Source organism: Homo sapiens, chromosome 11 (genome assembly GCF_000001405.40).
Source record: "Homo sapiens chromosome 11, GRCh38.p14 Primary Assembly".
NCBI lineage: Eukaryota > Metazoa > Chordata > Mammalia > Primates > Hominidae > Homo > Homo sapiens.
The window spans coordinates 76606409-76631274 of record NC_000011.10 but is presented as its reverse complement, the minus strand read 5'-3'; the positions used below and the strand labels follow the sequence as shown (position 1 = coordinate 76631274).

At 50.6% G+C, this 24866-nt stretch overlaps 1 long non-coding RNA gene across 8 annotated transcripts, besides 3 other annotated features; it reads left to right on the top strand.

The window, feature by feature from the left end:
- Window positions 676-970: an enhancer, noted in NCBI's record as "tiled region #5087; K562 Activating DNase matched - State 8:EnhW". NCBI's record gives its function as "activates a minimal TATA promoter and a strong SV40 promoter by Sharpr-MPRA in K562 cells {active_cell/tissue: K562}" and the evidence as "EXISTENCE:reporter gene assay evidence [ECO:0000049][PMID:27701403]".
- Window positions 853-23918, top strand: LINC02757 (long intergenic non-protein coding RNA 2757). Of its 8 annotated transcripts, none has more exons than NR_187243.1 (5): window positions 853-1080; window positions 2794-2871; window positions 3474-3536; window positions 4560-4702; window positions 23037-23918. It is a non-coding gene; the product is annotated as a long intergenic non-protein coding RNA 2757 (long non-coding RNA). The 8 variants fall into 8 exon arrangements; NR_187242.1 differs by having other exon boundaries at window positions 4050-4702; NR_187244.1 differs by lacking the exon at window positions 3474-3536 and adding an exon at window positions 5245-5407 and having other exon boundaries at window positions 853-1084; window positions 4050-4702.
- Window positions 1429-1788: an enhancer, noted in NCBI's record as "active region_5292". NCBI's record gives its function as "activates an Ori minimal core promoter by ATAC-STARR-seq in GM12878 lymphoblastoid cells {active_cell/tissue: GM12878}" and the evidence as "EXISTENCE:reporter gene assay evidence [ECO:0000049][PMID:35858748]".
- Window positions 21785-22483: an enhancer, noted in NCBI's record as "H3K27ac-H3K4me1 hESC enhancer chr11:76319836-76320534 (GRCh37/hg19 assembly coordinates)". NCBI's record gives its function as "activates a minimal SCP1, AML or CMV promoter by ChIP-STARR-seq in primed H9 embryonic stem cells {active_cell/tissue: H9 hESC(primed)}" and the evidence as "EXISTENCE:reporter gene assay evidence [ECO:0000049][PMID:30033119]".
- Window positions 23919-24866: the final 948 nt, after the last annotated feature.

Genomic DNA, 24866 nt, shown 5'->3' with positions numbered 1-24866 from the left:
TCAAATGCAATGTATGGAACTTGTGTAGATCCTGATTTTGAACAAATCAACTTTAAAAGATCTGTAAAAGATCTTTGTTAGACAATGGGGAATTTTTTTATTTGGAAGACAGCTGGCCTTGAACTCCAGGGCTCAAGTGATCCTCCTGCCTCAGCCTGCCAAAGTTCTGGGAGTAATTATACTTAGAAGCATGATTTGGAGTAATCTGGAGTAATCACGCTTACAAGTGTGAGCCACCACGCCTGGTTTATTGGGGAAATTTAAACACCACTATATACTATGATAATAAAAAATTATTATTAAAAATGTAGGCAGGATAATAGTTTCTGGCCATGCCTTTATCTTTTAGAAATACAGACTGCAATATTTATTTTGAGACAGGGCCTTGCTATGTTGCTCAGGCTGGTGGTGAACTCCTGGCCTCAAGTCATCTGCCCACCTCAGCCTTCCAAGTTGCTGGGATTTATAAGCATGAGCCACTGCGCCCAACTCCTTGTAGTATTTGTGGATAAAATTATCTGATGTTTAAATTTGCTCTGAGTAATCCAGTGGGGAGGAGTTGGGGGATAGAAATGAAACAAGAGTGGCCCTGAGTCGGGGAGGGTCGAAGCTGGGTGAGGAATACACAGTAGTTTTTGTACTATTTTTGTTGTGTGTTTGAAATTTTCCACAATAAAATGTCTTTGCTGCTGTCAAGGAGGTGGGGAGGAAGACCTAGACGTTCCCTCCAAGGCTGGGGTGGGGGAAGGGAGATCGGGCCGTGTGAGCTTTCCTCAGGAGTGAGCAAAAACAGGAACGTGCCTGCAGAGGGAGGAGTTCCCAAAGAGGAAACGGCGCAGGAACAGCAAATGCAGAGAGGATGCACACTCTGAAGAGGGCAGGCAGCTTCTGCACCGAGGGAGCAAAGGGGCGTGTCAGGGGCAGCTGCTGGAAGGAGGCGCAAGCACCACGGAGAGTCTGGGATGCCCAGCCAAGGAGCCCTGGAAGGGTTGCCCTGGGGACTGACACTGTGGGCTCTGTGTTTTAGCCAAGTCACCCAGGCAGCTGAACAGAAGATGGACTGGAGGGAGAAGCCTGGATGTAGGTAGGGAGGCCTGAGCAGTGGCCAGGTATTTCCTGGACTGGGGTCCTGGAGAAGACAAGGTGGCCTGAGCCAGGGAGTGGCCTGTGATGGACTGCAGGAGACAGCTATGAGTGCTGCTGCCAGGAGGAGGGTGCTGGGAGGGAGGAGTGCAGTGAGACCCGTTTGTGGCCTAGGCAACTTGGTGGATGTTGGTGCCACTATTAAGATAGGTTGAGAGGGCAAGTCAGGCCCCTTCATCTAGAGCCCTGGGCTGGGAGACAGGGGCCTGGGATCTGGCCCCAGCCCTGCTGTCTGGCTGTGGAACCCAGGGCATGTCTCTACCCCTCTCTGACCTAGGGGTCCCCATCTCTAAAGCAAGGGCTAGGAGCCTCAGATCAGAGGTTCTCCGAATCTGCCCCGGGTCAGATCTGTGCCCAGCCCACACGTGCACCCTTCTTGCCTGCGAAGGGCTCACGAGTTCTCATCTTGCGTCACTGAAAATCCAGTGGTGTGATGTCAATGGCATTTCCCTTCAGAAAAAGGAAATGAGCTTAGCAAGCGTGTTACCAGGAAAGGAAAGTTAGTTGGGCCCCACCCTCTGCAGCCCCATGCTCCCCGCACACAGCAAGCAAGGCCCCTCTGCCTGGGGCTGGGGACAGGACCCAGAAATGTCACAGTTCAGATACAGGCACCAACACAACAGCCTTGACTTCCAAGCAGGGCTGGGCTGCCCTCAGCAGAGTCAGCAGCTTCTCTGGCTCCCATGGCCTGGACCCTGGCCACACTCGGAGACTGAGGTCACAGGTAGCTCCAGGGTCTCATCAAACATCAGCAAGGCCCAAAAGCTGAGCTCTTTATAGCCAGGAGACTGCGACCCAGACAGGAGAAGGGGCCTGGCACAGGACACAGAGCCAGTCAGAGGACAACCCAGGCACAGGCCACATGGCTCTGGGGAGTCAGGTGGTCCCTGAAGGCCTGTCTTGCTACAGAGCTCCCAGAATGCCCCATTCCTGGTAGATGTTCCCAGAAAGTCCCTCTCCAATTCCAAATGTTAAGTGCCTTTACTAAATGAAACCACTCCCTGACACTTAGCTTTTGACCATCTAAACATTCCTTAAAATGAACTATGAAGATGAAATGAAAACCAGTGTCAATCTATCCAATACAATTGCTATATACTTTGGAAAAAATGAATAGTAAATTGGTAAGTTTGGTATATTTGGCAAATTGGTCATTTGAAAACCTGATCAGTTGGCAAGCTGGTCATCAAGCAGATCCATTTTTAGGAATTTGACCTAGAGCCTCCCACAGACCCCACCAACCAGGCCTCCTCCCACCTTCCAGCTGCATGGGCCGGGCCAGATCCACCGCATCTCCCCAGCCCAACCCTCAGCCCAGGGCCTGACACACAGGTGGGTCCAGGCTCTTGCTCATTAACTGCTGAGTAAACTAAGGAGATGTGGAGCCTGTGTTGAACCTGAGCACCCTGGGTAATTGGAGGGGCCCACAGGAGGTGGATTAGCAGGGGTGGCCCTGGTCAGCCCCAACACAGTGAGGTAACCGGGTGGAAAAACCCCTCACCTTTGCTCTTGTTGTAAAAGTCAACTCGGGTCATAATTTCCACTGTGCCCCCAACAGGGAGGGCATCTGGTTCACCCTCCCACGCACCCAGGGTTTGGGGGTTTTCAGGTGAAGTGGAACTAGGTGTTTGTGTTTCTGCACCTTTGCAGGATCGCTCAGCAACAAAGGAGCCAGAAAAGGCAAGGTGTACACACCGTGTGCAGCATGGGCGAGCTGCAGGCATGCAGGTAAGAGTGTGTGCATGCAGGTGTGTGCACACGAGTTTGCATGTGCTGATGCAGATGGCTATGATGCGTGGTGGTGATATATACATGTGGATGCTTATGGATCTGTGCCAACCATTATTAAGCACATATGTATACCCGTGTGTGTATATGCATGCATGTGTTTGTGTGAGTTGCAATGTGTATACAACTTTACACAATAAGTGAATTGAGTACATGTACCTGTTTATCCACGGAAGTGTATGATGACTGGACATATGTAAATATGTGTATTTGCATGTGTTTATACTTTGTGCATAGATGCATGTTTGTGTATTTATGCTGATCCATTTAAGCGTATGGGATGTGTGTGGATGTTTGTGTAACATCTGTACATACTCCATAGGTGCATCTTAATACAGGAATATGGGTGCGATGTGTATGTGTGTGTGTGTGCCTGTGTGAACAGGTGCGGCTGGAGGTCTATGAGTGTGTGGATAGGTATATTTGCCTGTGCGCATGTGCGATTCACGTGGTGTGAGTGCACATGGTCGCAGGCAAATGTCTGTGTGGGCACACACATGCCCTGTTGCCCTTTTCTGTCTTTTCCTGTTGGGAAATTACAGAACTTCTGAGTCCTAACCATGGCTGGTGGCTCTTCCAGGAACATGGTTTCCTGGACCCAAAAGGTAAGCTTGTCAGGGACCCACGTGAATGAGGAAGTGGGTGGGCCTGAGTCTGGGGCTCCTCTGAGAACTGCTGTGGACCAGGGAAATCTTGCTGCCACCTCTGGTCTTTAGTCCACCTCTCAGTAGTAGCTTTCAAAGCTTGATTTTTTTGGAGGCGTCTCCACGGAGCATAGTCCTAAGCTCCTAGCCTACATTGTCCCTGTTCCTGGGCCTGTTTGGTTGACATTCTCTTACAGTTTAAAAAAGACATCCACATCCGTACTCTTAGCTAATCCTTGTGACCTTTCTTCTAGTCTGTTTGGAGAGGCTGGGAGCAGAGTGGTTAAAAGAGCCAGGCCTGGTTCCATTTCTGACCCCTCTTCTAGCTGAGCAACTTCCGCCTCTTCCAGCCTCCCTCACGGGAATCACAGATCACGTGAGATGACACCCATGAAGGGCTTGACTGGCATCTGGCACATGGTGAGGACTGCAAAAATGTGGGCTATTGTTTTTACTATTATCCCCATTTTATAGATGAGGAAACTGAGGCTTGGAGAGGCTCTCTGCCTTTGTCAACCTGGAGATGCTGGGAAGGAAGTGAGGCCCATCCCACCTCAGATGCCTGTCCTCTGTCGTCAGGAGCATTCTCTTGTTCTTCCGGGCTTGGCCAAGCGGTGGTAAACCCCACATGTGGTTCTGTGGTTGCCCACACAGTCCTAAAAATAGCCAACAGGAACCCAGGGGCTCCCCCTTGGTGAGTGGCAGCAGGCCCAGTCCTCAGGCAGCCACCAACCTGCTCACTCCCCACAGGCAAGCAGGTCCTGTCTAGGAAGGGGCTGGGTGGCCTGGGTCCCATGCATGATGAGCCAGAGGCTGTGCCAAGCTTATAGCAAATATTATTTTATTTCATTATGTTTTCTTACATCTGTGATGTGGAGGCCATAGCTCCACTGGACTCATGAGGAGACTGAGGCTCAGAGCAATGAAGTGACCTGCTCAAAGTTAAGGAGCTTCAGTTTGGACCCAATTTGTTCTGATCCTAAGGTCACTATCCTTAATCCCTCTCCCTGTGGGGTCTTCCCTATCTTGAGCCTGTGGACAGCTGTGCAGTGGCAAGAAAAAGGCCTTCAGAGCTACGCAGACCTGGCTTCAAATCCCAGCCTCCCTGATGAGCCCTGGTGGTCTTGGTAAGTCACCTCACCTCTCTCAGCCTCAGTTTCCTCACTGAAAAAATAGGAGCCACACTGCACATGATGTGGGAGTATGGTGGGGATCTAATGAAAGAAGGCACACAAGCACCCGGGGGGGGCCTGGGATGCAGCCAGTGCTCAGTACACAGCCACTCACTGGCTCTGCTCCTCCCCCCATTGACATCTATGCTTCCAAAGCTGGGGTGAGAGGAGCAGCATTGGTCGAGCTCCCAGAAGTGTCCTGCCAGGTCAGGGAAGTGGAACCACCCAGGAGAGGCCAGAAGAGGAGGTCCCTATGGTAGACTGAAATTTCCCAAAAATGATCTCAGGAGTGTTCCTAATTCTATACCCTGGAAACTTGTCATTCCCCATCAGGAGATGGAGTCCATTGCTCTTCCCCTTGAAACTGGGCATGCCTTTGAGATGGCCTCCATGAAAAGAATGTGATAGAATTGACATGAAAACTTACTAGGCTAAACCTAAAAGGTGGTACAGCCGCCACCCATCTGTCTGTCTATCTTTCTGTCTCTTTCTGTCAGCATGCTTGCCCTTGGGACTCAGACACCATATTGTGAGGAAGCCCAAGCTACATGCAGAGGCCACTATAGTTGTTCTGGCCAACAGCCCAAGCTTCAGCTGCCAGACATATAAATAAACCAACTCTTCAAATGATTTCAGTTTCCAGACTTCAGTGCATCCCAGGTAATGTCCAGAGGAGCAGAGATGAACCATCCTCTCTGAGCCCTGCCCAAATGCAGACTTGAGAACAAACTAAATGTCATTGTCTCAAGCCACCAATTTTCAGGGTGGCTTGGTACACAGCACCAGGTAACAGGAATAGCCCCCCTCTTCCTCTGCAGCTCTCCCCAGGTACAGGCAAGCTCCCCAACCCATGCTTCATCCCCACCCCACAGACAGAACCTGGAGTCAGTCCTCCCACCCACAACTGTGCCTTCCAAACTAAGCTCAAAGCCCAGCTCTGTTGCTTTCAGATGGGTGCCCTAGGGCAAGTCACCAACCCTATATGACAAATCCCTCTGTGTCAAATGGGAATTATAATAGTGCCCCTGAGGAGTCTTGGAGAGATTTAATAAAGTGCCTGGAACATAATGAGTGCTCATTAAGTGGACGCAGGGACATGAGGCTTGGGAAAAAGGAAGGGGTCAAAGACGTCACCCCAGTCTCTGACTGGGAGGGAGAGAGGAGGAGCAGGTTTTCAGGGAGCCTGGGAGGAAATAAGTTTAGGCTGGATGCTAAAAACAAGGTGCCTAGCTCTGTGCAGGTTCCTGAGGAGGACCTGTCCTCAGGTGGCTCACAGACTGACCAAGACATGGGAGGCTGCAGAGTGTGGCTGGGCAGGCCCAGGCAGGAGCTGGTCAAGGGTGAATAAGGTGGGGGCGTGGAAGGCACAGCAGCAGGAGCTGGGCCAGGGACCTCAGAGCCAGGTGGGCACAGCCGCAGCTAAGCCTGAGCTCTGAGGCTTCCCAGATACCACAAGGTCCCCTCCCCTTCTCTCCTTAGCCCAGGCCAGCCTGGCCCTATCTAGAGAGATAAAGTCACTGCAGAAGCTCCCAGACCAGAGACATTCTTATCAGTCACCCTTGTCTAAGGTACTTGGGAATGTAAACTCTCCCTCCACACAGCCCTGGATGCAACACACCCGCCCTAGGAAGACACAAAGCAGACGCAGTGGGGTGGGCCTTCCCCTAGCCAGACCCCACCTTCCTCCCCACCCGCTTTCTGCAGCCCTGCAAATGCATGAGATGGGAAGGCCAGCCCCGGCGCCCCCTTCTCTAACACCTGGGGCATATTTTTCCTTTAAGTCACACTCAGATTTCGAGGGGCCGCAAGGAGCCCTTTCTGTGAATGCCATCTTGGCCAATATGCCCCATGTATGTGTGCAGCACAGTGCCCACCCTGCCCGGAGAACGAGGGAAACATGGTCCGCGGTGGTGGATCTGGGTGACCTAGAGCAAGTCTGTTCACTTCACTCGTCGAAAGTTTGTCCTCACACAAACATGCAGTAAGTCCCCCTGCTAGCTAGGCTCAGGGCTGGGCACTGGGGAGAAGCAGAGTCCAGAAAACACAGCCCTCTGGAGTCCACTGTCCAGTGGGCAAGACAAACAGGTAAAATGACGACGACAATGATGATGATGATGATGAGGCTTGCCTTAGAGCACTTACCACCCGCCATTGTTCTGAGTGATTTACACAGTATTGACTCATTTAATTCCCAAAACAACCCTATTGTCTCCCAACATTGTCATGGAGGAGGAAATTGAGGCACAGGGAGCTTAAGGCACTTTGTTCCCAAAGCAAGTGAGTGGCAGGGCTGAGAATCAAGCCCAAGAGGCCTGGCTCTGTGGACAGTGTGATAAGGGCTGGGGTCAGGGAGGAAATGGGAGTGGGGGGTCGAATCATAGAGTGACCTCTGCCTGGCTGAGCTGGAGTGAGCTTTACAGAGACAAGGCCTGGGAAGGATTGGGTGCAGAGTGAGTGCCCTGCAAAGGCTCAGTCCCTGCTGCCCCCACCCCAGAACCTCACAAGGACTTTGCATGGCCTCTGAATGCCCCTTACCCACCACACCCGTGGAGCCACTGGATGTGTTGTGCCTGGGCCTAGGAGCTTGCGGCTCCTATGGGCCCAGGTGAGGCTCCGGGCTCTGCTGCCCCCACGATGGGCTCTCAGGGTCCAGAAGTGCCCACATCAGGTATCGAGAGCAGGGCCTTCCGCTGCCTGGGGACAGAGGCAGACAGCGGGTTCATGGGAAAGAGCATGGGGTTTGGAGTCAGACGGGTAAGAATTGAAATCCTGGCTCGGCTCCAGCCTGCTGAGTAACACCCAGCCCTGCCTGCTTGTCTCTGGGCCTCACTTCACCATCTGTGAATCAGTGTGGCCTAAATGGGACTGCAGTTCCGCCATTCCAGAGGCCATGTCAACACGAGTAACTCTGGTGTGAGTTAGCCGGCGACTCTGCCATAAGTGTCTGGGTGGCAGTGACAGGAGATGCCATCTGTCTAGGGGTTTTCTAGGAGAGGAGGTGCTTGAGCAGGGACCTACAATAAGTGCCTTCCTTTCCACTCCCTTCCTTCCTTCTGTGCTTTTTACCTGAGCCCAGTAAAACCTGGCCGGGGCCTGAGGCACTCCCAGAATGGGGAGGGGCGGTACATCCAGTGTCACAGGGGCTCAGTTAAGTCTGCACAGGGCTCTATGTAGGGAAGTCAGTGCCACCTGTGGGGAAATCTGTGGGGAATAGATCCTTGAAGAGTGAGTGGGTGCTTACCACGCAGCCCAGAAAGAGGAGGAGAAAAGAGCCTGGGGCAGAGGGAGCTGGGAGACAAAGGCTTGCAGATGAGGACCAAGTCTGGCCTGTTGGAAACAGCACACAATGGGAACACCTGCAGCATGGCCGCTCACAGGGTCAACAGGAGCCAGCAGAACATTAAGAAAGGCCTTGAACTCCAGGTTGAGGAGCTTGGGCTTTTCCCTGAGGGTGCTGGGAAGCCATGGAAGGGTATTGAGGAGAGGAGGGGTACAAGCAGAGCCATATTTTCCAAAGGTGTCTCTGACTCCTGTGAAGAGGTTGGAATAGAGAGGCTGCTGGGGATGCAGGAGAGAAAGGAGGCCTGAACTCGGGCAAGGGCAGTGGGCAGGGAGGGGTTATCTCAAAGATGAAGGGAGGCCTTGGGAAGCAGGTGGGTGTCAGGGGAAGGCGGGAGAGGCAGGTGACCCCCAGGTGTCTAGCTGGCTTGGGCACAGAGTGGGGGATGGGGTCCTTCACTGACAGATACCAGAGGGTCAGGAGTAGAACCAGGCAATGGGTCCTGTTGGGGGCACACGAAGCATTGTCATATGGTGGTTGGATCCTGGGCTCAGGGCCAGTGAAGGCCACGGCTCAGCCCTCACTGTGGGGATCCAGACTTTAGGTCAGGCAAGGATGGAGGGACAGTGGGAGGGGCCGTTGCAGGGGAGGGTCAGGAGGGATGACTAGGACCAGGAATGGGACTTTGGGAAGATGCCCAAGGCATCCTCTTCTCAGGGGTCTGAAGAAGAGGCCTCAGGGGTTGAGGACAGTAGAAAGCCTGTGCCTGCAGGCTGGCCTGTCCCTATCATTGTGGAGATCTGAGCTCTGTGGGCTTCTGTTCTGTGTGTGCGTGTGGAGGTTGGACCAAAGGATCGCCAACCTCTCCCCTTTCTGACTTCTGGCTTCTTTGTTTTCCTCTGCCCCTTACTGACCGTGTGGCCTTACACAAGGCCTCCCCACCTCTGGGCCTCAGCGCCTCTTCCAATCTGGAGCATGGATTAGGCTGGAATGATTCCTAAGGTTGCAAAGAAGGCCTCCATGTTTGTTCAAAGCACAAGTGAACAGATTCCAGCTGCGAAGTCCCCAGACTTTGCTGTTGTCCAAGGAGTCCACACTCACCCTGCCTCACCATCTAATTAGTCACATCCTAGGATAAGGACACGGCCTGTCTGCTCCCGGCTCTCCCATTCCCTCCCCCTGCCCCCTGCCCAGCGTCCTGGAGTTGGGGAGGAGTGGCTCACAGGCCTGGGAGACATTTTTCCAACCTCAGGATTACAGCCAGCTCCGCAGTAAACCCCATCGGCCCCAGAGTGGGGGTGCAACAGCCCAGCCCATCAGCAGACCCTGGAATTCAGAAAGAAGCCAGCTGGCGCAGACAGATGATGACCTTTTAGACTTTCTTTACAAAGCACTGCACACCATGGCATGGATCTTCCTTAGCACGGCCCTGTTGGAAGGTGGAACAGGTCACTGTGCAGATGCAGAAACCAGGGCTCTAGGAGACAGGACAGAGCTTACCAAAGTCACTCAGCGAGTGGCAGAGGTGGCACTTCAACCTCAGCTCTGCCACAAAGCCCGTCCTCCATGAAGACTTCTGATAAGAGATCCCTGCAGTTCCTCCAGAACTCACATCCTACGCCAGGGCTTCCCCAGACAGATGGGTGAGGTCAGAAAGAGGGGAAGGGCGGGACAGGCTGGGCATGAGGAGCCGCGTGCCACCACCTGCACCATGGTAAGAACCTCACCCTGCTCACCGGCCTTGGTGTGCACCTGAGGCCCTGCCTTGGTCCTCAAGGCCCTGGATGGCCTAGTCTGGCTGGCTCTCCAGCCTCTTCTCTCCTCTCTGTCTCTCTCTCTCTTTTTTTTTTTTTTTTCCCTGTGAGCTCCTGTCACCTGGTGTCTTTTGCTTTCTTAACCACCCCAAATTCCCAGCCACAGGGCCTTTGTACATGCAGTTCCCTTAGTTTAGAAGGCACTCCCCAAACCCCAGCCCCTTCCATGTTCATAGTTAGTGCCTCTTCATCCTTCCATATTTTAAAAATAACAGCCTTGTTGATATATAATTCCTATATCATACAATTAATTTATTAAAAGTGTATAGTTCAGTGATTTAGTATACTCACAGAGCTGAGTAACCATCACCACAATCAATTTTAGAACATTTCTATCACGTCTCCACCCCTAAAATCCCATACTCATTAGCAGTCACTCCCCCAAGTGCCCAATTAGACAATCATTAATCTAATTTCTGCCTCTATAGATTTGCCTATTCTGGACATTTTATATAAATGGGATCATACAAAATGTGGTCTTTTTGATTGACTTCTTTCACTCAGCATCATGTTTTCAAGGTTCACCCATGTTGTAGCATGTGTCACGTATAGCATGTACTTATCACTTTTTGTTGCCAAATTATATTCCATTGCATGAATGATACCACATTTTATTGGTCTGCTCATCAGTTGATGGTCATTTGGGTTGTTTCCACTTTTTAGCTCTGATGAATAATGCTGCTATGCATGCTCACTTCCAAGTTTTTGTGTGGCATATGTTTTATTTCTCTTGGGTATATTCCTAGGAGTGGAATTGCTTTGTCATAGGGTAAATATGTTTAACCTTTTGAGGAATTGCCAGATGGTTTTCCACAGAAGTTGCACTGTTTTACATGCCCATGCCCCTGCTGGGGTTCCAGTTTCTTCATATCCTCATCAACACTTTTTATTGTCCATCTTTTTAATGACAGCCATCATAGTGCGCATGAAGTGGTATTTCTTTTTTTTTTTTTTAAATTCATAATCAGTGTTTTTATTATTTTCGATGATGGCTCATTTCTAAGTTAAGTGATGTATACTGTCTACATTTCCCATCTATAAGCTTTTGTTTTTCCTGGACTTTTGTTACCTAATTTTGATTTGCTTAGGTTATTATTTTTTTAATCTATGGCATGTCTTCCTATTGCTATGTACAATGGCTTTCAGTAGAACTTTTTACATCTTCAAACTCATCAGATAACTGTGTTTTAATATCTTTTTCTGAGGACATTCCTCCCAAATCCCTCTGTTCTGCTCCACTTGGGGCTGATAGGTCCTTTTCTGTTTTGAGACAGGGTCTCACTCTGTTGCCCAGGCTTCAGTGTAGTGGCACGACCTTGGCTCACCGCAGCCTTGACCTCTGGGCTCAAGAGGTCCTCTGATTGTTCTTTATTCTTGTTGCGCAGCTGTTGTTTGGGGACTTCCCTTTGCCATCATCCTGGGATTTCCCTTTACCTCCTTCCTGTGTGATCTCCGGTTTCCTAAAATCCCTGTCTTCCTCTCTGTTAGGTTATTCCCTGTTTTGTTCAGTACATCATCCAGAGTTTCCTGACAAAAGAGATGGGAAGGTAATTTGTTTCTCCAGAAGTAGATTTTTCTTTCTTTTTTTTTTTTTAATTGATCATTCTTGGGTGTTTCTCGCAGAGGGGGATTTGGCAGGGTCACAGGACAATAGTGGAGGGAAGGTCAGCAGATAAACAAGTGAACAAGGGTCTCTGGTTTTCCTAGACAGAGGACCCTGCGGCCTTCCGCCGTGTTTGTGTCCCTGGGTACTTGAGATTAGGGAGTGGTGATGACTCTTAAGGAGCATGCTGCCTTCAAGCATCTGTTTAACAAAGCACATCTTGCACCGCCCTTAATCCATTCAACCCTGAGTGGATACAGCACATGTTTCAGAGAGCACAGGGTTGGGGGTAAGGTCACAGATCAACAGGATCCCAAGGCAGAAGAATTTTTCTTAGTACAGAACAAAATGAAGTCTCCCATGTCTACCTCTTTCTACACAGACACGGCAACCATCCGATTTCTCAATCTTTTCCCCACCTTTCCCCCCTTTCTATTCCACAAAACCGCCATTGTCATCATGGCCCGTTCTCAATGAGCTGTTCGGTACACCTCCCAGATGGGGTGGTGGCCAGGCAGAGGGGCTCCTCAATGAAGTGGTATTTCATTACAGCATTTCTCTGATGGCTAGTGATGGTGAGCAGCTTTTCATGTGCTTATTGGCCATTTGTACTTATTCTTTAGAGGCTCTATCCAGAGCCTTTGCCCATTTTTAATTGGTTTATTTGTCTTTTTATTATTGAGTTGTAAATGTTCTTTATATATTCTAGATACAAGTCTCTTTCTGGACACATGATTTGCAAAGTTTTTTCTCATTCTGTGAGTTTTGTTTTTACTTTCTTGGTGGTATTCTTTGAAGCATGAAAGTTTTTAATTTTGATGATATATGATGCATTTTTTTCTCTGTTGTTGTTTGTGCTTTTGGTATTATATCCTAGAAACCAGTGCCTAATCCAAAGTCACAAAGATTTACAACCATGTTTTCTTCTAAGTTTTTAGAGTTTTATAGAGTTTTAGTGTCTTTTAGTTTTAAGAGTTGTATAGAGTCTTAGTTTCTTCTAAGTTTCTAGGAGTTTCTATTTTTAGTTCTTACATTTAGGCCTTCAATATATTTTCAGTTAATGTTGGTATATGGTGTGAGGTAGAGGATCAGACTCATTTTTTTTCATGTGGATATCCAATTGTCCCAGCATCTTTTATTGCAAACACTACTGAATGGTCTTGACACCATTGTTGAAAATCAATTGCCTGTAAATGTTGTCCTTCCATTTTAAAACAACATCACTTCCTCAGGGAAGCCTTTGCTGGCACTTCTCCCTACCCTGACCTCAGCTTACCCAGGTTCCCCTGTATATATGTAAAACACATAGATAACACCATAGGTTCTAAATCACACTGATCTATATAATGGAGTAGAAATGAACACATACTCTGGAGCCAGATAGTCAAGGTTCAAATCCCAGCTCTGCTGCTTTCTAGCAGCCTGGCCCTAGGCATATTGTTTCACCTATCAGTACCTCAATTTCCTCCTCTGCAAACTGAGGACTTACTAATCTCATAGGGTAATCACAAGAGTCCATATATGTAAAGGACATGGCATATGGTAATAAGTGCCAATGTGTGAGCTGTTATTAATCAGTGTCATCTTCTTAGACTGTGAACTGTGAGAATAGGGACGCTGTCTATTTTGGCTTCCACAAAATCCTCCTGGTCAGCATCATGCGTGGCACAGGGAGGGCATTTGATACCTATTTTTGAATTAGTTAGTGAATAAAGGCATGCATGCATGTGTGAGCCGGGCAGACAGGATTCTAATCCCACCCTCCCACTGTCTGGCTGTGTGACTTCTCCTGAACTCTGTAAAATGAGAGCCTTGGATCCAGGGGTGGTTTTTCTCTGTTTCTCTATTTGGATGCAGACCCCACTCTTTACTTGAAATAAAAGGAACCCAGTTTGTAAAGATAATAAAGGGACATGTGTGAGAGAAGGTAGGGTGGGGCCCAGAGGCCCCTCATCTGGGGCACCCCCAAAGTCCTCCAGAGCCTGTTGGACACAGTGTGAAAACCTCCCTTCAGGATATGCCCTACATGCTCTCCTGGCTTGGAGCAGCCCGTGATTCAGAAGCAGCTGATGTCTGACGCTCTTAATTCAGCCCAAATGCTGGAGGTCTGTGTCTTGTGGTGTGGGGGGAGACAGAGGGGCGAATTCCAAAGGGGAAAGCTCTTTCTTTTTCTACCCACAGGAAGGGGGGTGCTCCCTAAAGTTCCCTGCATGGATGAGCACAGCACATCCTTGCTTTCATGCCCCTCATCCTCGGCTTCCAGATCTAGACCTGGAATGGCCCCATCTCCTGGGCCAAGCTTCCTCTCACCCACCCCTCCACCCCTCTCAGACCCAGCTCACATCCAGCAAGGCCCACTGTGCTCCCGCTCCTGTCCCCCCAGTGCCCTCATTTCACCTGGTAGACACTCCCTCAGAGGCTTACAGAGGTGAGCAACTCATCCAAGGTCATGGCAAACGAGTGGCAGAGCACAGATTCAAACCCCAGGCTCTTGACTCCAAGTCCAGGCTCTGTCCTTCCTAGCTGCCAATACGCTAGTAGGGTGCCACAGTTCATGTGAGCACAGGGGCAGGGCCAGCCCACGAGGTGCTGAGGTCAGCCAAGTTCTGTGGCCCCTGGAAAAGGGAAAACCCTGAGGGAGGCCCACCCACTATGCAGGTCCCTGGCAAGAGCCTTAATGCTTCCCCCAGGCAGAGGACCCCTGGCCATAGCGGGAGGGACTGCCCTGGGAAAGGAAGGGAGGGGAGGTCCCCGGTTGGAAGGTTAAGAACATGAACCTTAGGCAGGTCTATCAGGTCACTGACCAGCCTCTCTGAGCCTCAGTTTCCCCCTACCCCCCAGCCCAGTGACATAGGACAACAGTACCCACATCACTGGATTGTTGTAAGGATGAACTGAGGCAAAGACCTTAGCTTTCTGTCCATCTTGGAGTTATCACGTGAATGGGACAGTGATTATTACTGTCCCTAGCACTGGGAATGTTGTCAGCTCGGCCCAACAGGAGCTGCCAAAAGGGTCCCCCATGAGGAAGCAGACCCAGGGTCATGAAAGAGGAGATAGTTGACTTCTGTCTTCCTCCGGGGTCTTTGAGTTCACTGACAGCGCCTTGTTTTAGGAAATATACTTCTCCTGGAAAAAGAGGTGTCTAACATTAGCAGTTTGGAGAAAAGAACTTAGGAGAGTCACTGGCAACTTCGGGTTTGTTTTGATTTTTTTTAAAGCTCAGCTTTCCTTCAGGACATTAACCTCATTGTCTTCACTCAGGTAGGGTATGGATGTGGGAGTGTACTTGGGGTTTGCAGAAACTGCACGGGCTTCTGTGTCACCTTGTCTTGAATCCTGGCTTTGCAAATTATCAAGGGCAAGTTATGTAGCCTATGTGAGCCTCAGTTGCCTCGTCTGTAAATAGACGGAAATGTGATGGTGCTGGTGAAGGGCCCAGCCCCTGGTCCGCAGTGCACCCTGAGTTGGAGCCCTTATTTGGGACCTTTAAAGTGACACCCACACGGTGCTGAGGAAAAGGTCCTTTCCAGGTGGAGGAACCCAGGAGCACTTCCTGGAGGCAGTGGCTGGGCCCAGAAGGCTGGAGAAGGCAGTCCAGGAACAACTTGAACAAGCATGTGGCAGAGGGAACCACAGGGCGGGCAGAGACAGTTGTGATTGTGAACAATAAGATTCTTGGAGGGAGGACCAGGAAGAAGGCAGGGGCGTGCAGTGGCAGGATTCCAAATGGGGCCTGTTTGCCTGTGCCTGTACCCTAGGCTGCTTCTTGGAAGGGCTCCCGGGTCTATTATCAGAGCTCCCTGGGGCTGGAAAGGGCTGAGTGATTCAGGTCTGCCCTGCTGTTGCTGCTGAGCTTCCTGACATTCATGCTGAGGGGCAGGTTCCTGGGGGGACTGGCCTCCCATCCCCACCCTGCTTCAGCCCCTCCAACCCACAGGAGAGTCAAGGGGAGTGGGGTGTGACCCACAATTATTAATCAAACAGCCTAAAAGAGCCAACAAGAGATGCCCACATTTACAATAAAAGTAACAATTCCTTAAACGTAATCAGAGCACGGGTACTAGCTCTGCCGTGGTGTGTGCCCCTGTTGGTCACTTACTGCCCTCCTTCTACCAATGGGAAATGGAGACTCCAGGAGGGGACGTGGCTCCGCTGAGTCTGTGCAGCGAGTAGGGGGCATGCCAGTCCTGAGACTCTGCATCTTCCCCTGGGGATGCCCAGAGGACATCTGTGTGTGTGTGTGTGTGTGTGTGTGTGTGTGTGTGTGTGTGTGTGTGTTGGGGGGATGGGCACAGCAGGGAAGGGACCCCTGCCTGGAGACAGTGATCCAGTGGGTTCTCCCACTCTTAGGGAGGGGTGAAGGAGGCCTGCTCATGGAGGGCTGGGCCCCGGGCCTCCCGCTGCCTTAGTCACAGGTCCCGCAACAGAAGGATCAAACTCACCAGCCCGGAAGTGACGTTAGAGCAAGGCCATGGGAAGGATGGACAGGATGATACGGGCAAGCCCAAGGGAGAGGACATCCCCTGCAGACAGGGCAGCACATGCAAAGATGTGACAGTGAGGCCATGTGGCATGGGCGCGGCTCGGTGTGGACACAGTGGGGGCTTGCAGGGGCAGGTGCCCTGAGCAGTCTGCTGACATACCGCAAGGACACTGAGGCCCAGGAAAAAAAGGGACTGTCTATCTCAAGGTATGCTGGAATATTCCAGCCGGGTCAGAAGGGGCTGCCTTTCCCCTGTGGCTCTGAAGCGATCCCCACAAGGAGTCCTGAAATATGGGAACCCTGGCCATCTCACTGGCATCAGTGCAGGGAGCTCCCAAGGGGACTGCGTCAAGGGCTGAGGCGTGTCTGGAAGGCTGAGCCCGAGCTGTGCTGGTGCCACCTCTGATAACCCATCTCACGTGACAGACAGGATCCCCTCTTCCCCTACCGAGGATCAGGTCTGATTTGCCTGTCATCCCTATCATGGTTTGTTAATGGACAGTAGACTGATTTTTGGACCCAGATCCCCACTGGGAGCCTCTGTGGGACCAAGCTGTCCCCTTTGACTGGCAGCCAGGGCCAGGCCAGACAATGACCAGTCCTTGGACCACTCCCAGGCGTGTCCAGATTTGGCCCGCCAGGACTCCAGGGCAGGAGGGGATATAACGGCCCCTTCCTGCATGGCTCTGACTAACAGCCCCCTGGCTCCCTGAAGCATCATAACAGGGCCTGTTACCAGGGCGACCTTCAGGCTCTGTGGCCTGGGACCTGGGCCCTTGCCCACCCCAAGCTGGCTGCTGGCATTGAGCACTTATGGTGAGCTCTCCCTGGCTCAGCGGGGCTGTAAGAGGAGAATAGGGCAGGAGAAGGCCCTGTCTGTGCCTTTGGGGACATGTAACACTGTGGGGAGAATAGAGAGGAAGTTGAATCCTTGGCTTCTCTCTCTCCCTGAGCCCCTGGTCTCTTGATTTCTCCAGCAGGGACCCTGCATGGATCCAGACCATACCTAAAACTGAACTGCCCCTGGAAAACTGCTCCTTCCCCTCCACATCATGCCCCATCTCAGTGAGGACACTTCCATCACCCTCACACATGCTACAGGGTCTCGGGCAGCAGCAAGGGTGCCTCCCATGCTCTCCTCACCCTCTCATCCCATCCATCACCACAGCCTGCACTTACTTCTGCCTTCTCCCAAAAGCCTCTGGAACCCCCTCCTCCACTCTTCCTCATCTTCGACCTTGGGCCCAGCTCTGGCTGCCTCCTGGGCTGTGTCCAGATTGATGCCCAGCCTCTCCTCTAGACCGTAGACCCCTGGCCCCAATAGGAGTCTCCAAGAGGGTCCCTGTGAAACCTCTAGACTCCTGGCCTCCAGTTTCGGAGATGGCCTCAAGTGGATCCTGGCCCTCACCTCCTGAGCTCCTCCCTAGCTTGCCCATCACACTCAGCTGTGGCTGAATCTCATCCTCCTATCAGTAAAAAAAAAAAATGCATACCATCAATCCAATATATGCATATGCTTATTTATAAATTATATACATATGCTGCCACAGAAATGCTTGGATAAATTTGAAAACATACGCCAATAATAGACACTGGAAAAAGAATGAGAGAAAGATTAAATAAATAATATAATTTTAAAAGTTTTATTTTCACTTTATTTAATGGTATTAAAAAGCCTTTTGCTCTGACTAAATACATTATTACTAAAAATTGCCATTAAGTATGCTTCATTTTTAAATAAAATCTTGCATTAATAAAGTGGTACACTCACTTGAGAATCTGGTACTAAATTCCATGTATCTTTTCACTTGGCTTAATGGTTATTATAGTTGAAAAAATATATCTCACAAAGAGCTGAAGTGCCACGTGGAGGATGTGCATTCTTGACTGCACTTACTAATCACAAGGTGCAATTTTCAATTCTGTGCACAGGCTTTTGGTTGGAATTTGGCTTAACTGATGCCAACCTGTTGAAGGTGTTACTTTTTTTTTTTTTTTTTTTTGAGATGGAGTCTCACTTTGTTGCCCAGGCTGGAGCGCAGTGGCACAATCTCGGCTCACTGCAAACTCCGCCTCCCGAAGGTGTTACTTTTTAATATTTTTGACAAATGAGTTCAAAACACACTGAACTTCAGCAACAAAATCATCTCAAGATTTTATTCAGCAAAGTGTTCTCCCTATAGGGTGACTTTGTTTCCAAAGCAGTTACTTTCTTATTCAATCTTAAAATGTCACCTTTACCTCTGCTATGTATTCATTCATTTTAGCATCTGCTGGATAGCATCCCCTAATTGTCACAGAAGGAGCCAGCACATTTGGATCATTTGTCTTTTCGTAGAAGAAAAAGGCAAATTTCTGCCAGGTGCCGTGGCTCACACCTGTAATCCCAGCACTTTGAGAGGCTGAGGCAGGTGGATCACTTGAGGTCAGGAGTTCGAGACCAGCCTGGCCAAAATGGCAAAACCCTATCTCTACTAAAAATATAAAAATTAGCCAGAATCCCAGCTACTCAGGACGCCGAGGCAGAAGAATTGCTTGAACCCGAGAGGCAGAGGTTGCAGTGAGCTGGGATGGCACCACTGCACTCTAGCCTAGGTGATAAAGCGAGACCGTCTCAAAAATGAAAAAAAATAAAATAAAAAAATAAAGAAAAGGAAAGAGGAAAGAAAGAGAGAGAGGAAGGAAGGAAGGAAGGAAGGAAAAAAAGGCAAAGCTCATCTTCAAGGTATAACTCTTTTAAGTATTTTGCTGTGAGATAACCAGCAAGTTTCTGTATGGTACAAAAGGTTTTTGCAGCCACTTATTCTGTTAAGACGCTTTGATAAGATGCTATGATTTAATGACTGTTTTTATAAAATGAAGTGCCTCGATGACATCCTGTGGCAGGCTCACTGAAGGTGTTGCAGTGGGATGGCAACGTCATGGTCAGCCAAACCCATGCTGGACATATGACCTACTATGGTGTGAACAAGGTGAGGGCACCAATGTCAGCCTACTTAATAAATATTAGTAGAGCTTGAATTTTTCTTCCTTTTTTTAGAAGGTAAAATATAAATAGAAGTTCTAGAATTTTCGGCCAGGCTGTGACTCACACCTGTAATCATGGCATTTTGGGAGGTTGAGATGTGCAGATTGCTTGAGCTCAGGAGTTCAAGACCAGCTTGGGCAACATGGCAAAACCCTGCTTCTACTAAAAAAAAAAAAAAAAAACTAGCTGGGCATGGTGGCACATTCCTGTAATTCCAGCTACTTGAGGAGCTGAGGCAGGAGGATTGCTTGAACCTGGGAGGTTGAGGCTGCAGTGAGCCAAGATGGTGCCACTGCACTTCAGCCTGCACAACAGAACAAGATCCTGTCACACAAAAAAAAGTTCTAGAATGTTTTTTCTATATGAATGGATCACTTTGCACCCCATTTTGGACACCTCTAGGGTATATAATAGGGTTTTTGGCCACATTCACAGCCCCTTGGGATCTGTTCCAGTCTTCCTTCCACCTTGGCGCTTACGTAAAACTAAGTCTAATGTTCCTGAATACATCACACATTCTCGTGTCTTTGCAATGCAGCTATGTTTGTCTGATAGGCTCATCCCGATGGATTAGCTCAAGATTCTATACTTTCTTCAAGAGCCAGCCCCAGGCCACCCCTTCATAAAGCCTGCTCAGATTCTCTGGGTGGAGCCATTCATTCTGCTAGTTAACAGATATTATTGAGGGCCTATTATGTGCCAGGCACTGATCTAGGGGTTGCTGGGTATATAGCAGTGAAGCAATCATACAAAAATCCCTCCTTCAGGGAGCTTGCATTCTAGTGGCTGGATGTTGATGCTCTAGGTGAGTCCTTATCGCATTTACCCACAGACGGTTGGCCATTTACAAGTTTATCTTCCCAGGAAAGCATCTGTTCCTAAGAGCAGGGACCTCTGAGCCAGAGCTCCAATCACAAGTCCTAGCCCAGAGTCAGAGCCTAATAGATAATGAATGGAATAATACAGTGGGTAACACAAGCCATGACCCCAGCTGTAGATAAATATCTGACACCAAATCCAGACTGAGGTCCTCCAAGTGCCTGATCCAGCCTCAGGCTGGGCCAGCACTTGGGGCTCAGTCTCACAAACACACTGGTTCCCTGCCCCATGAGAAGGAACTGGACGGCCCCCTGCGGGTGGCAGGAACCACTTCCACCTCCGAGTGTCTCTATATTTAGCCATCTGTTGTGACCCTGCAGCCCTCTCCTCTCCATGGCCGGAGGGAATTGCCCAGCAGCTTTGATGGCCTGTTTTCCCAGGCCCTGCTCCTGCTTCCCAGCCACCCCCTCCCCCACCCACCAGCATCCCTGCAGGAGGTGGAGCCCTACTCAGCTGGCAGGTTCTGCATCCTAAAATAGCATCAGCACTTGGCAAGGAGAGGCAGCCACCTGTGTTCAGGGACAGCGCTGCCCGGGTGAGGGGCAAGGCGAGCGGAGGGAGAAGGGCAGGGGATGGTCTGGATGGAAACCTTCCAGGTACACTCCTGTGTTCCCTGATCCCCTCCAAGCATTAAGTCACTGGTCCCACATTATTCCAATGTGCATCAGGGTAACCACTGACTGTCAAAATAAGGCCTGAGCCTCATCTCCCACTTCTCCCCCACCCTACACACTCAACCTGAACAATAGCCACACTGCTCCACATCATGCCCCAAACAAACTCTCCACATCTGAAATGACATAACCCATTCTCCCCTCAACCCACCCACCCAGGAATGCCTTCTTCATCTGTTGAAATCCAGCCCATCTATGAAGAGTCAAAGGCCGCCTTGGCCGTGAAGGCCTCTGGTGCTGTGGGCCCATGCGTAAGTGGCCATGCTTCAGTGCTTTCTGTCCCTGGTTCAAGCTTGTCCATCCTGTAACTTTACTTGGTTCAAAAAGCCCCCAGGTCGATGGTTGGCAGATGAGGCCCTAGCCTCAGCTTGCTGTGTGATTCTGAGGATGTCACTTCCCTATCTGGCCCTCAGTTTTCCTGGCCATGAAATGGGATTCTATTTCATGATCTCAGTGGGCTCTCCCAGGGGTCTGAGCCTCTGATTCACCATTTGGGGGGAATAAGAGCATTTTGGTAAAGGGAACTCGCCCTGAACCTGGAGCTATTGATGGTGTGGTCCCCTCTCCCTGCCCTATCCTTCCCCAAAAAGTCAGTTGCCTCTGAGGCAGGTGTAGGCTCCTGAGTGGGGTTCCTGACTGCTGCCAACGGGATGGGGCACTGTGGCAAGGCTGGCTTCCAAACCAGCAGGGCAGCCTCCCGTGCAAGGAGGCCTCCCTCTCCTGCAAGTGGGGAAGCTGCCATCCATCTGGTTCAGGTTCCTCTGTTTTGTCTCAGCGGGAGCTCTCAGCCCACAAGTCTTGGCAACTGGAACAAAACATCCCAACCACAGCATTTCCGTGTTGTTTACTTCAGCAGGGCCCAGGCCCAGGGGTTCTGCAGAGACCACCAGGATCCCAGCAGGACAATAGGAAATCTCAGCAGAGGCATTCCAGAACACGGAAAAGCCAGTTCCTGATGAATCCAGAGGATGTTCAAAGCTCACCAGGCCAATGAACCCCGACGGATTCCCCAGTGGGCCCTCTCTCCTTTCCGTAGATCTTCTAGGAGTTTTACCATTTAAAGAGAACTGCAGGAGGCCATCTTAACCAGACTGTATGTTTCATTAAACCAAGAATGGTATTTATTCTAGCAGTATTCTAGGCACTGGGATACAACAAAGAGCACAAATTGAGAGGTGACAGCGTGCTGGCAGTCCTCACAGCCCTCGCTCGCTCTCGGCGCCTCCTCTGCCTGGGCTCCCACTTTGGCGGCACTTGAGGAGCCCTTTGGCCCGCCGCTGCACTGTGGGAGCCCCTTTATGGGCTGGCCAAGGCTGGAGCCCACTCCCTCAGCTTGCAGGGAGGTGTGGAGGGAGAGGTGCGAGCGGGAACCAGGGCTGCGTGCGGCGCTTGCGGGCCAGCTGGAGTTCCGGGTGGGCGTGGGCTTGGCAGGCCCGGCACTCGGAGTAGCCGGCCAGCCCTGCTGGCCCCGGGCAATGAGGGACTTAGCACCCGGGCCAGTGGCTGCGGAGGGTGTACTGGGTCCCCCAGCAGTGCCAGCCCACCGGTGCTGCACTCGATTTCTCACCGAGCCTTAGTTGCCTTCCTGCGGGGCAGGGCTCGGGACCTGCAGCCTGCCATGCCTGAGCCTCCCACCCACTCCATGGGCTCCTGTGCAGCCCGAGCCTCCCCAACGAGCATCACTCCCTGCTCCACGGCGCCCAGTCCCATCGACCACCCAAGGGCTGAGGAATGCGAGCACACAGCACGTGACTGGCAGGCAGCTCCACCTGCAGCCCTGGTGCAGGATCCACTAGGTGAAGCCAGCTGGGCTCCTGAGTCTGGTGGGGACGTGGAGAGTCTTTATATCTAGCTCAGGGATTGTAAATACACCAATCAGCACCCTGTGTTTAGCTCAGGGTTTGTGAGTGCACCAATCGACACTCTGTATCTAGCTGCTCTGGTGAGGATGTGGAGAGTCTTTCTATCTAGCTCAGGGATTGTAAATACACCAGTCAGCACCCTGTGTTTAGCTCAAGGTTTGTGAGTGCACCAGTCGACACTCTGTATCTAGCTGCTCTGGTGGGGCCTTGGAGAACCTTTATGTCTAGCTCAAGGATTGTAAATACACCAATCGGCACTCTGCATCTAGCTCAAGGTTTGTGAACACACCAATCAGCACCCTGTGTTTAGCTCAAGGTTTCTGAATGCACCAATCGACACTCTGTATCTAGCTGCTCTGGTGGGGCCTTGGAGAACCTGTGTGTCGAAACTCTGTATCTAACTAATCTGATGGGGACATGGAGAACCTTTGTATCTAGCTCAGGGATTGTAAACGCACCAATCAGCGCGCTGAGAAAACAGGCCACTCGGGCTCTACCAATCAGCAGGATGTGGGTGGGGCCAGATAAGACAATAAAAGCAGGCTGCCCAAGCCAGCATTGGCAACCCGCTCGGGTCCCCTTCCGCAATGTGGAAGCTTTGTTCTTTCGCTCTTTGCAATAAATCTTGCTACTGCTCACTCTTTGGGTCCACTCTGCTTTTAGGAGCTGTAACGCTCACTGCGAAGATCTGCAGCTTCACTCCTGAGCCCAGCGAGACCGTGAACCCACCGGGAGGAACGAACAACTCCAGACCCGCTGCCTTAAGAGCTGTAACACTCACTGCGAAGGTCTGCAGCTTCACTCCTGAGCCAGCGAGACCACGAACCCACCCGAAGGAAGAAACTCCGAACACATCTGAACATCAGAAGGGATAGACTCCAGATGCGCCACCTTAAGAGCTGTAACACTCACCGCGAGGGTCCGCAGCTTCATTCTTGAAGTCAATGAGACCAAGAACCCACCAATTCCGGACACAAAATGACACAGTCCCTGCCCACATGGAGCTGACATTCTCATGGAGAGAAAGGGACAAATAAACAAATGTACAATACTCCAAGTAGTCATAGTGCTGTGAAGAAAATAAAGTGATACAAGGGAACTATGAGAACCTTGGGAATGGGGGCGCTGTTTTAAACAGGCCCATTTGGAAGTTTCTCTTTCCTTTGAGCCAAGTCCTGAAGGAAATGAGAGAGGGATATGGGGGGAAGAATGTTCCAGGCAGAGAGATCAGCCAGTGCAAAGGCCCTGAGGCAGGAGTGTGCCCCAAGGGGTGTAGGAACAGTGTGGAGCTGGTAGGGCTGTGGCAGAGTGAGGGTGAGAGAGAAAGGAAGGGGGTGATGGGCCTGGGGGGCAGACCATGCTGAGCAGCGGCTTTTAATTTTTATTGATTACATCTTCCATAAGAAATCAGTTTTATATGGCAATCCAAGACAGATATCCACATATAAACATACAACTGAGATAAACTATATGTGTGCACTCTGATATATTTTATTTTATTTTATTCTGTTTCATTAAAAAATAACATGAGTAATGATCTTCAAATTGATTTCCTGGGCTACTAAATGGTCATGGTCCACAGTTTGAGAAACACTGATATAGAGCCTTATAGACTGTTACAAAGAGTGAGATGGGGCCTGGCTCACACCTGTAATCCCAGCACTTTGGGAGGCTGAGGCGGGCAGATCACTTGCGATCAGGAGTTTGAGAGCAGCCTGGCCAACATGGGGAAACCCCGTCTCTACTAAAAATACAAAAATTAGCCAGGCATGGTGATGCGTGCCTGTAGTCCCAGCTGCTCAGGAGGCTGAGGCAGGAGAATCGCTTGAACCTGGGAGGCTGAGGTTGCAGTGAGCCAAGATCGTGCCACTGCACTCCAGCCTGGGCAACAGAGTGAGACGCTGTCTCAAAAAAAAAAAAAAAAGATTTAGATGGAGTCATTACGCAGGTTTTGAGGAGGGGTGACACAAGCTGTTTCACTTTTTTTGTTCCATTTTGAAAATTAACATATAATTTACATTCAGTAAAACACACCCTTCCTAGTGTACAGTTCTTTGGTTTCAACAAATGCAGACATGTAAACACCACGTTTTGCTTTTGAAAGGGGTCCTGCAGGCTGCTAAGAGGAGAGGTCTGGAGAGGGAAGGTGGCAGGCGAGGACCAGCCAGAGGCGCTCGTGGCGGCTTAGAGTGGCTTCTGGGTATATTTCTGAAGCCTGAGCCCACAGGATTTGCTGATATTTTGGACGTGGCGGGTGAGAGACAGGGAAGATTCCAGAGTGACTGCCTGGTCCTCAGCCTGCGTAATGGGAACTTGAAAAGACGGGGGAGGAAAAGGCTTGGGAAGCAGATCACGAGTTCTGGCTTAAAGTGTGAAAAGCAAGGAGAGAACGGGCTGGCCATGGGGAGGAGTCCAAGGAGAGGCCAGGCTGGATATTGCGATGTGGGCGGCTTCTGTATCCCCACGACGCTGAGGGCCACGGGCCTGCCTGAG